Source organism: Homo sapiens, chromosome 10, assembly GCF_000001405.40.
Source record: "Homo sapiens chromosome 10, GRCh38.p14 Primary Assembly".
NCBI classification, from domain to species: Eukaryota; Metazoa; Chordata; class Mammalia; order Primates; family Hominidae; genus Homo; species Homo sapiens.
The window spans coordinates 59848649-59861125 of NC_000010.11; the positions used below are offsets into that span (position 1 = coordinate 59848649).

The window sequence follows — 12477 nt, forward strand, 5'->3', positions numbered from 1 at the left end:
TGTCATTTCACTTAAAGACACAGTTTCTAAGAACTTATCGGCAACATTAAGTGAGAACTTACTGTATAATAAATTCTTTCTTTGAGACAGAGTCTCACTCTATCCCCCAGGCTGGAGAGCAGCAGCGTGATCTCGGCTCACTGCAACCTCTGCCTCCCAGGTTCAAGCAATTATCCTGCCTCAGCCTCCTGAGTAGCTGAGATTACAGGCGTGTGCCACCACACCCAACTCATTTTTTGTATTTTTAGTAGAAATGGGGTCTCGCCATGTTGGCCAGGCTGGTCTTGAACTCCTGGCATCAAAGTGATCCACCTGCCTCGGCCTCCCAAAGTGCTGAGATTACAGGCGTGAGCCACCACGCTCAGCCTGTATATAAAATTCTGATAATTTTGCTCACAAACACTTCTTATAGGTTTTAATTACAAATAACGATTAAAGCACAACCTCTCTTCAAGGCATTCAAGAGTAGAATTTAGCTCTAATGTAGGTTCATGTTGAACTTACCAAAAGTAAGAGAGTTCTTTTTGGAACAATGTCTCACCAATCAGGTAGTGAATCCCATGGCCTGGGCTCAGAAAGATGTAGACTTCTCAGTCAAGAGTTCTCACGAGATAAAGATACAATTTTGTGTCTGTACTGGATAGACACAAAAGCAAGGGAGAAGAGCTGCATGCTCCCTTTTGTGTGTGTTTTCCTGTTGGTGAGGATGAACACATATGGAGGTGTTTAAGCCATCTCCCAAACTGGATCTTTTAAAGGGCAAAGGGATTTACTCTCATGTATCTTAAGCAAACTTGATTCTATTTTTTAAAGGTATTGGATACCCAACTTGGCCATAGCAGACAGGAAGGGACACGTCTCTTCTATAGCAAGTCTCATTTTGTTCTCAGGATCAAAAAATCCCTTTGAAATGCACATAAAAGCATTGTCCAATCACTATCAGAAATAACAGCCAAAGCACTCTGACAAAACAAAAATTGATCTGTATATAGCCTCTCAGTGGCCTTTGGGTGAAAAATGCTGAACACTTTCACAGTGAACAGGTCAATGCACCCATTTGTCTGTGAGTGACACTTGTAGCATGATTTCTCTTAGCAGGCTTTTTTTTAGCAAGGTCCTGTGCAGAAGCAAACATCCTAGAAAGCCATATTAAAATAATTACATAGTTGAAAAAGTCTATTGGTATCAATTACTCCAAGAATCTTCCAGATGGAAAACAGTATTTCCATGCTGGGTGGCACAAAATGTGGGCATTCAACAAAAGACTGGTTGAACCTATTAAGGAAATACATATTGGGAGCCTGAGGGATGAGTATCATAGGCTGAACAGCCCTTCCCCTGCTGCAGCTATGATATCCCTGAACTGGACAACAATAGAGGTCAGGTTCTTAGGCACTATCAAAAAATAGACATGTTGTGACACCTGGTGTCTAAAGCAACAGATCTCCTGTTATGCCTCAGAATGGCAACAGCTTCAGAACTTGCCAGAGACCTGAACCTAAAACTACCTGCTATCCATCCCTTTCAAACACCTAAAGACGAGGGGAAGAGAATGGGCATTATTGTTTAATGGGCACAGAGTTTCAGTTTGAAAAGGTTCTGGAGATGGACAGTGCTGACGGCTGCACAACAAGCTGAAAATGCTTAACGCCACCAAATTGTACACTCAAAAATGGCTAAAATGGTAAATTTTATGTTACGTAAAATTTACCACATTAAAATAAAAAGCCTAAAAACCAAGCTGGGATGCATGACAGATTGTCTCAGGGACATGCTAACCATCCATCTGTCCAGATTCTACAAGTTGAATCACCAACAAGCTACAGACCCATCTAGAGAACCCCAATGTTTTCACAGAATCACACCTTCATACTACGCCCTTTCTTTTGGCTGAGGGCAAACATAAGACATGCCCGCGTGAAGGCTAGGGCTACACATTGTATACCACTTTTGGAAATAACAGTTTATTTTGTTCAGTTTATATACTATTCAATCCCTTTAGAAAGATCCACTATCCACTGAAAAATTTTTCCAAGTTTTTAGTCTATGATTTTTTTTTCTCTTGACCAAGAACTACTGTTTTAGATATAAGAATTATGAAAACACAATCCCTACATTTCTATGTCATAGCATTATTTAGAGGATGCTTGGAGCTTCAATTTTAAGTTCAAGCCTTCTTACACCAAGTATACACAACTATAAATAACTTCCTTTGCTGTTGCATTATGTGCTTATGTTTTCATTCTTTTTTATGTTTTCATTCTTATGTTCTTATGTTTTCATTCTTTTTTAGTATCTTATTTTAAGGAACATCAATATCCTTAAAAGGTAGGTAGGTTACATAAGTGAACGAGAGGCCAATTACAGACTATACAATCACTCATACTGGAGATACATAGAGAAAAGGAACATGATCTGGCGAGGTCTTGACTGTCCTATAATGTACTTTGGTTAAAGACTCCAAAAAACAACCATGTAAATTGAAAAAAAAAAAAAAAAAAAAAAAAGGTTTCTTGCAGTGCCAAAAATTATGGCACCTGATTACACATACACCTAGGAAAAACAAACCATAATTACATCCCCATGATTCTAGAAGCACTAGGTAAAATAAGTCATTTAATGCTGCCCCAGTGAGACATACTAAAAGGTCAAACTAATCTTCTCCATCCATTTTTCTCTAAATCACAATGCAAATGAATAAACAAAAAGTTTCAGTACAAAAATTTTGCTATAAATCTCTGCTAGACAGTAATGCCTGGGTACCTATTCTTCACATTTCAGTAACTACCATATAAATCAAATTTTGTGCAAGATTAACAGTGTCTTTATTCAGTAATTAGGTAGAAAAATGAGACTAATAGAAAGACAGGGGTAAAAGCTGCCTGGAACATGTTATGGTCTTAACATTAAAGTTGCTACATCAGAGTTTCCAGTATCCTCTTACAGGATCATCTATGTGGGGAGGTAAGAAAAGAACTTAGGAAGATTTTTTAAAAAGCCTCGAATAACTTCTTATTACAACCTCACTAATATATATACTTCAAGCAAATTAATGAAATTGTTATTGATGATGTTAAAACATATGGGGGTGTTTCACAGACATCTAAAGACAAAATGGTAATAATGTTGATAATTTTATACCTGCTCACTATTTTGGACAAGCTATGTTAAATAATGAAAACTCAATATCCCACTTATTTTTAAGTTCATACTAACCCACAAACTATTGCCCCTAAGCAAATTTTACCTTGTACTTTACCAGTAAGCTTTGAAAGGGGGAAAAAAAAGGAGGGGGAGAGAATGAGCCTCTGAAGTAGAGAAATCAAACCTTCCTATATGTTTTGTGTGGCATCTTCTATATATTACTCGTGATCAACGTTGAGTTTTAATAGCAGTCTGATATTTGTTCAGTAACATATTACTCACCCATTTGAACACGGTTGATTGTGGGTAGTTTTAACTATCATGGATACCTTTCTACTTCCTAAAGATGTTTCACTTCATATCCTCATATTTTAGTGCAAAAGACCCACCTATGACTGCCAAAAAGTTTACGTACTTATTACAGGCTCAACATAAAAGGAGAAAAATTTCACATTTGGCATTAGTCCCCATACTTCCAAAATGCTACATTCAACATCTCATGCCAAGATCTTGTGCTCATCAGCAATTTTTTGGAAATGCTCGGGGTACAAAATAGCTTACCTAACATATGCAGATAAGCTAGAAAACCACAGTCTTGACTATTACACCGCTGCCACCCTTACCTGGTATTTTGAATCTCCAAAGAACTTAAGCTACAACCTCATCAGCAAATGTTACAAGCAAAGTGCTATATCAAAGTCATTTTCTCCTAGAAAGGAAAATAGGCAGGGAAGATGAGGGAGTAGAAAAGATAATTTACCTGCATCAATTTTCTGGAGAGCTCATTAGTGAGGAATTCTTCTTCTTTCTCATAATTTACAGCAAGGGTTTCTTTCTCCTTCTGCAAAGCCTGAATTTTCTTGAATAAAGTGTTACTAATGAATTCTTCTTCCTGCTCAGCCCTGGCTTGCTGTTTAAAAAAAAAAAAGGAAAGAACAAAACAAAACACATGTTAAGGAAACAGGAAATTTACTAATTGAAATATAGTTCTTATTTCCAGAAAGGGTACCCATTTTAAATAGAGCTCTATTTTTAGCTGTGAACCAACACACCCAAGAAATGCAAAACAGAGGAATTCAGCAGAGTCTACAGAAATGAATATCACTATTATGCCAAAGAGCCCCCCTTTACTATGTGTGGTCCTTATTCTTAAAGTGATATTTCAAAGAAATTAGCCAAGATCACATTGCAGTTTTTATGAAACTGTCCCAAATCAATAACCAGAATACAGAAAGATCCTTCTAATGTAGCAGACGGGTCCAGTCCTGTGCTATGGTACATCAATTCATGATAACTCTCACAGGTTGCTACATCTCCATGGTTTACAATTAAATATCTGGGCAACATTTTTTACTGGAGCAGAGCTCAACTCACTTAAAAGTAGAATTATATCACCTCCTTATGATGTCACTTAAAAGGTTTGGATAGGTTTGGATATGCCATTAAAAAGGCATTATGGGCCAGGTGCAGTGACTTACACATGTAATCCTAGCACTCTGGGAGGCAGAGGTGGGTGGATCACTTTGATCTCAAGAGTTGAGACCAGCCTGGGCAGCATGGCAAAACCCTGTCTCTATAAAAAATACAAAAAATTAGTCAGGCATGGTGGCACATGCCTGTGGTTCCAGCTATTCGGGAGGCTAAGGCAAGAGGATCACTTGAACCCGGAAGACAGAGGTTGCAGTGAGCCGAGATCATGCCACTGCACACCAGCCTGGGTGACAGAGTAAGATGTTGTCTCAAAATAATAAATAAAATAAAAAATAAAAGGCATTACAAATGTACATGGACACGTGTTCACTGAATAGCTGAATAATTACTAGAAAAAAAAAATTGCACCAAATGGCTGGAAACTAGTTATTAAGAGGTAGTGGAAATCTAGGGGTGAAGGGTAAAGGTGGGTGAGAGGGGCTTCATTTTTTACTTTATTTCCCTATTGGGAATTTTTTGGAGATGAAGTCAACGAGAGAGATTAGTGAATTGAATTTTAAAAACAGAAGAGAAGGGAGTCTTTTTTGAAGGCATTATTCAATGGAGATGAAAATATTCTTCTGTAGATACCCTCCTCTCTCCCTGAAAAAAATGTTTTAATAGATTAGGCTTATTATTATTCTGTCTAAACGGAAAAGCCTAACCATCTTTGAAGGAAATTAATCTTTTGGGAAAGGGCATCCATGTTTCAAACAAACTCAACTCTATTTAAATAACTTTTTAAACCACAACACTTTGATTTATACCAAATAATGCATTTGTTTTATCTGTCAAATCAAGGGAGGAAGAGCCACATGAATTCCAGGCCTCCAGAACCTGTTATTTATAATATTCCAAGAGAACCAGACAGGCAGAAGACGAAAGGGCACCCACATTAAACAATTACCACCTCTTACTGTAAAAGGCTCCGACAATCAATCCCAACTCTGGCAGTTTCGATTTCTGTATATACTCACCAGCTTCCCCAACATCCACACACTCTAATATCCACGGTTTCTGTGGAGTCCACCCTCCCTGCTCCCCATCACTGTGGCCCTAGAGGAGGTATGCCAGCTTCTGATACTGCTTGCTGAGCAATTCTACAAAGAGAGCCACACATAGTACACAGACTGAAAAACAGAGCTACACAAACACAAACAGTGGAGGCTTTGGGAGAAGGTCCAGTACTCACATTTTTAAAGCCATTCTGGGGTAGTCCAAGAGAGCTAAGCAACAAAGACAAAATCCTTCAGCTAATAAATCTGTATTACCAGCCAAGGCACCCAGTGAGCAGTCCATAGGTTCCCCCAGTGGTTCCCTTACATACCTCCTATTTCATTAACGCTTCTCAATGTCTTACTCTTTCCACTATAGTCAAGGAAAACTGCTGAGAACTCATACTTCTCCTCCCCCTTTAAATCAATCCCCACTTGCCTTCCGAACTCTCAAACTTCAGGATTTCACGCTAGTGCCATGGGCAGGAATCCAAAGTATTTATTTAAGACATATTTGACACATACATATCTAAGCCTGCCATCTATCCAAGCTACTTGTTTTTCTGGTTTTGACCGACAAAGTCCTATATGATTTGAATTCTGACTATTCTAAAAGTTAAAGAACAGAAAGGCTGAGAGGAACTGTAGTGCTCTTGCAGGTGATTCTAGACTTGGCATTCAAAAGGGTGTTTGCCATAAACTCATTTCATTATCAGATCAGACTCAACTTCTTGCACATTAACACACATTTAGTATTTTAGATAACTGGTAAATTTTATTATAAGCAGTAAAAGTGAAGTGGACTCAGAGACTAGGCAGATCACCTTTCCCTTTACACAGGGGCCTAGAAGTGATAAATAGAAAATAAGAAACTAAGAGATTATTCTTGTGAGAAGTTGAAAATCAACCTTAAGAGTTTATTTGTGAAGCCACCCCTCCCCAATTCATCTAGCTACTAAGTCATAGGGACAGGAGATTTCACCGTAACATAAAAAAGAACTTTCGGTAGAAAGTACATTGTGGCTCTAGGCCAGGCGCAGTGGCTCATGCCCGTAATCCCACCACTTTGGGAGGCCAAGGTGGGTGGATCACGAGGTCAGGAGTTCAAGACTAGACTGGCAAAGATGGTGAAACTCCATTTCTACTTAAAATAAAAAAAATTAGCTGAGCATGGTGGTGAGCGCCTGTAATCCCAGCTACTCGGGAGGCTGAGCCAGAGAATTGCTTGAACCCAGGAGGCGGAGATTGCAGTGAGCCAAGATCGTGCCACTGCACTCCAGGCTGTGTGACAGAGTGAGACTCTGTCTCAAAAAAACAAACCCCAAAAAGAAAGTAGATTAGTTGCTGAAGCGGAGGGGATGGGAATGACTGCTCATGGCTACACGGATTCTTTTTGGGGTGATGAAAATGTTCTGGAATTAGGGCTAATACTTTGTACAACCTTCCCAATATACTAAAAACCACAGAACTATATACTTTAAAAGGGTGAATGTTACAGCATGTGAATTGAATTATATCTTGATTTTTAAAAAAGGACTCATAATCAACACACTGTATTCACAGAGGACCAGTTTCCTTTGCATTTCTTCCCAAGGACAGCAGCAAAATGTAAAAATGAAGAGAGCTAGGCCTGCTCTAAATGTGCCTTCCAAAGATGTGTTACAGGTCCTGGGAGGCCGAGGCTTTGGCAAACAAAATTATTCACTGGTTTAGAATAGCTACTTATTTCTAAGCGAAGCTCATTAATAGAAAATGCCACTCTCAGGACCTCTGAATGAACATGAGAAACTGTTCTGGTGCAGCCTGTTAAAATCTGGCTAACTTAACAAAGGGTTAACATGGCCTAACACAGCTTTAATCACAGGGCTCCTTTAGCAAAGATTTTGCCAGTTCTTAGATCTAATTGGGGGGTGTTATTCTGCCTCTTATGGCATCTAAACACCCAGAGAAAACATCAGTACAAGATTTCCAGGTCCTCCAAACGTAAAACCCCAGCTCCCTCTTTTTCCAGTTGGTGCAGATCATCTAAGGAATGAGCATATAAACGAGTACAAAGGGCAAAATGCTATATCCAATACAGCCTTAGGTAAAAAAAAAAAAAAAAATTAAATGGATACAGTGTCCTGACAATATGCATAGAGTTAATTACCAGAGAATGAACCATGCATCATAAAAAAAGTATTAAGTGTCCATTTGACTTCTCCCTGCAGATTTCTCCCCATATTACACGCAGTATCATCTCAGTCTCTGTCTTAGTCCTGTTTATTCCCCCTTAATCCCAAGGCAAGACTTTTTATTTAAGCTGTAAAACAAATTACCTTTCCAAGGTATTTCCCCAAAATCAGCCAGCAAGGAGCCAGGTAGACAGTGGCCTACAAGCAAAGAAGCAAGCCCCAGGTACCATTCACAAGGCATGAAGGTGCACAGAGGGAAGAAAAAACAGGCTACCTCATGAAATCTCATTATCAGGTTTATCAATATATTTCCTTTTTACCTAAAATGCTTGCAAGTCTCAGCATATCTAAACACATCCCAATTCAAAATTAAAAATCCATTTCCAAAGCAAAATAAGTGAAGCAACATTTACCTATAGCTCTGTAAATTCTCAAATGAAAATGTGAACAAAAAAATTAGGAACTCTTTGAAGGAAGAAACATTTTCCTACTGTTTTCCCTTTTGTACGGTAGACTGGGAAAATCTGGAGGAAACAGAAAAATTTATGATATTTTCCTGTTCCATATTCAGGTTCTAGTTGCTATATTTAGAAATTTGGTATAATCATAATCAATTATTTGTGTAATTTAAAACATTGCCCCTCACCGAGCAGTAATCACTGTCTGTTAATGTGAGGACTAGACCACAAAGCGTCTCTTCATCATTCTTTTCCCATCCTACTAAAATCTAATAAAAAGGGAAATTAAAGGGAGAGTAGGATCAGGAGAAATTTACCAAGTCCTGTGGGAAAAATAAACACCAAAAAAATTACAGAAAATATTTTATCCTGAGTCACCACATATTTAGGCAACCACACTCTAAATTAAATTAGCATAATTTTCTGCAGATAAGGAAAACACAGTTTGTTCTGACCCACTGCTACCATGAACTGAGCACAAATTTGATAGGAGATTCTAATGTGATTGTTTATAGTGTTTCTGTTCTTTTATCAATGGCGTTTTGGAGATCAAGGGTTAGTACAGAAAGAATTTTAAAACCCTTCACAATAGCACTCAACCACTGAAGAGAAAATCCAAGTGCCAAAACCAAAATCACGTAGGGTGGTGCAATTCATAATCTATTAAGCATAAGAAAGAGAACGGTTCTCCAAAGCAAGAAATTACAAACATCTATTTGATAGCAGCCCTATGGATATGGTCAGGAGAAAGTTCAAGTGCCTACCAAGATAACACATTTGCACAGATTTTTTTTTTTTAAAGAATTACTTTTAAGTTAGTTGATGACTTGTTTTAATAACAAAGAATCATGAAACTAAGACATCCTGAAGCTTTAAGAGTCCAGGCAGGCTCTATTTATTATTCTCATTATTTAAGTTTACTAGTTTGTTGTCTAGTCACAAATTAATGATCTTAACATCTCAGTTTAAAATAGCATCTGAAACCACATTATTAGGATAGCAGGGACCACCCAACACACAGGCAACTGAATAAAAACTTGTTCTGTTTAAACTGTCCTTTCCTAGGTATACTACTGTACATAATGATTGTTGTGGGAGATGGTCAGAATTTAGCAGAATCCCTCATGACCAATGGCTGGCAATTCTTATAGGATTAGCTTGACTGTTGGTCACAGCAATGGGTTTATCAACACCAACCACTGTCCTGCAGACATCTGTTTAATATTTAAGTGCCGGTGCAGCAGGGGTAGGTAACAGATGACACAGAGGACAAGCCTGCATGTGCCTTTATTTTTTCTATTAGAAGAAGCAAGAAGAGGATTTCAGTCACATGCCTGAGAATTACAATTCTCCATTTAGTCTTTGGAAGCCCTAGACTAGTACACGCTTCCTCCGCATACTGCACACTAGCTCACAATAAAAGCAACTAATAGTTGATAACTGAAGCATTCATATTATTTACTCCATTCCAGTATTGCCAGCAAGTCACTAATATATACAGGGATTGGAGCAGAATCATTATTAGCCCTGGCAAATGCACTAATTCTGCCTCAGATACTAAGCCTAGGTCATTGTTACAGGACTGCAGAGCAAGAGAGAAAATAGCACCAAAGAGTGACTTTCTGGATAAGAATTCTTAAGTTACTAAATTTTACCAACTGTGGTTTCTCTCAAACCAGCTTTCATGAAAGACCAGGTAGTCGTCACTGCCCACCCCCATCTGCAGTGGACAGACACATGTCCTTCTGGGCATGTCCTAATGCACATGACTAGAACACAGCTTTGCATACACACCTCATCATGTCAGTTCAAAAACACTCAACCTGGTCCATACCTGGTTCAAGAAGATGGGTTCACTGGTCACTTACTTGGATACAGAGCAATGAAAAATTGCTAGAAAAGTAGCTAAATGTTTACGCTGGATTTATTAACTTATTTTCTTATGGGCAAGGGACACATAGTTGAAGTACTAGCCTGCAGACCACCCTTTAGAGGAGGTTTATAGACACTGTCAGACTTGACTCACACTGCCTGGTTTACAAGGTCGCTGTGCCTTTGTCCAGCTATATGACCCTAGCAGAGTCATAGAACCTCTTCAGGGTGCTGCTTTCTCCTCTAAAGTGAAAATAAGGGCAACTCCCTCTGGGTTAGTTGTGAAGATAAACTAAATAATTCACATAAAGAGCTTATCCTAGTGCCTTGCATGTGTTAGCACTAAAAAGATACAAAAAGGGTTAGGGAGGGAACATGAACACAAGGATTAATGAGAATACAAGGAAGGTTTCTGGAAAAAAAAATACATGTGTGTGCGTGTGTGTGTGTGTGTGTGTGTGTGTGTGTGTGTGTGTATGAAGGTAAAAGAATCTCATGTTGTGTTCTAAAACAAATCATACAAAAGACACAAACCACTATAAATAAGTTATAGCAGAAACAATCTATTTTGGATCCCATATATATGCACTAACTCCCCTAAATCCTCATCATTCACTAGCCTTCAGATATTCAAATTCTCAGAAACTATAAAATAACTTTATAAAACATTTAGAAAACAAAATATGATGAATGAGCAGCAAGAGACTAACACAAAAGATCAGGCAGGTTTGAAAAGAAAACAGAACTTCTTAAAATAAATGTTTAGATTCATCTTGGGTTTTCCATTTCAATAGCAAATCTGACACCACTGAATAGCAAAGCAAATAACCAAAGACAAACCTAACAATCCAAAATGTGGCACAAAGAAGCAAGATGATGGAAAATGAGAAAGATTATCAAAGCACATAGGAAGGAAAATGAAAAGATTTAATACACATGTAAGTAAAGACTAAGAAGACAAGTACAGAGAAAAAGAGGGAAAGAGTAACTGAAGACGATGGCTGGGAATTTCCCAGAACTAATGAAAGACATAAATCTAGAGATACAGAAACCACCTCTTTGGGAGGCTGAGGCGGGCATATCATTTGAGGCCGGCATATCACTTGAGGCCAAGAGTTCAAGACCAGGTGCCCAATGTGGCGAAAACCCATTACTACTAAAAATACAAAAATTAGCTGGGTGTGGTGGCGCACGCCTATAATCCCAGCTACTCGGAAAGCTGAGGCATAAGAATTGCTTGAACCTGGGAGGCAGAGGTTGCAGTGAGCCAGTTTTGTGCCACTGTACTCCAGTCTAGGCAACAGAGCGAGATTCTGTCTTGAAATAAAGTAAAATAAAATACCTCAAGCCACTCTGGGTGGAACAGTAAACCCTCCAATCCCAGAGTCCAGGCAAAAAGGCACTGCTTCAGCATGACAGGCATAAGCAAAACTGGTCTGTGTGTGATGCAAAGGTAGGAAACCCTCCCATCCCCAGGACTCAGACACAGATCCAATGCCCCCGAGGAAAGGCTGGAAACTCTTCTGCCCATATACACATCAGATTCAAGGCAGTTTGACTACCAGACGAAGAAAGGAAGAGGAATGCTGTGGAGACCCTATCTCCATGACCCAGGTACCAGGGCCTACCTTAAACTGGATCAGAAGAACTGAGAACCATTCCCCTGACTCTACAATGAGCCCAGATATGAGATCTAAACCACCAATGGTAATCTAATGCTGAAGAAGGGGCCAGGGCTAGATTATACTACAGCTCAGGCATTTGAGAACTACTAAAAAAGCTGAGAAAATAAAGCAAGAACACCGAGGAAAGTGGGGCACTCCAGGCACTATTTTAAGTATAAGGTAACAGCAGTTCACAGCTGGAAGAATTAAAAACCTGTGGTAGAATGAAGGAAATAACACAAAGACCCAAACCCAACTCAATTACTGATCAAATTAACTCACAATCCCATATACATGACCTAATAGAAAAAGAGGCGTGCTCATTTCCAGGCATAAAAACTACTGGGCGCGATGGCTTACGTCTGTAATCCCAGCACTTTAGGAGGCCAAGGCGGGTGGATCACTTGAGGTTCAGGAGTTCAAGACGAGACTGGGCAACATGGTGAAGTCCCATGTCTATGAAAAATTTAAAAAGTAAGCTGGGTATGGCTGGGCACGGTGACTCATGTCTGTAATCTCAGCACTTTGGGAGGGCAAGTTGGGTGGATCACTTGAGGTCAGGAGTTTGAGACCAGCCTGGCCAACATGGTGAAACCCCGTCTCTACTAAAAATGCAAAAACTTACCTGGCCGTGGTAGCGAGCACCTGTAATTGCAGGCACAAGAACTGCTTGAACTCGGGAAGTAGAGGTTGTAGTGAG

General features: G+C 39.2%; 1 protein-coding gene across 1 annotated transcript in view; it reads right to left on the minus strand.

Moving 5' to 3' along the window:
* CCDC6 (coiled-coil domain containing 6) overlaps nt 1-12477 on the minus strand; it is a 117810-nt gene that overhangs the window by 59902 nt on the left and 45431 nt on the right. Inside the window, exon 2 of the mRNA NM_005436.5 lies at nt 3905-4054. Within this exon, the coding sequence (NP_005427.2) occupies nt 3905-4054 (150 nt within the window). The remainder of the gene's footprint in view (nt 1-3904; nt 4055-12477) is intronic.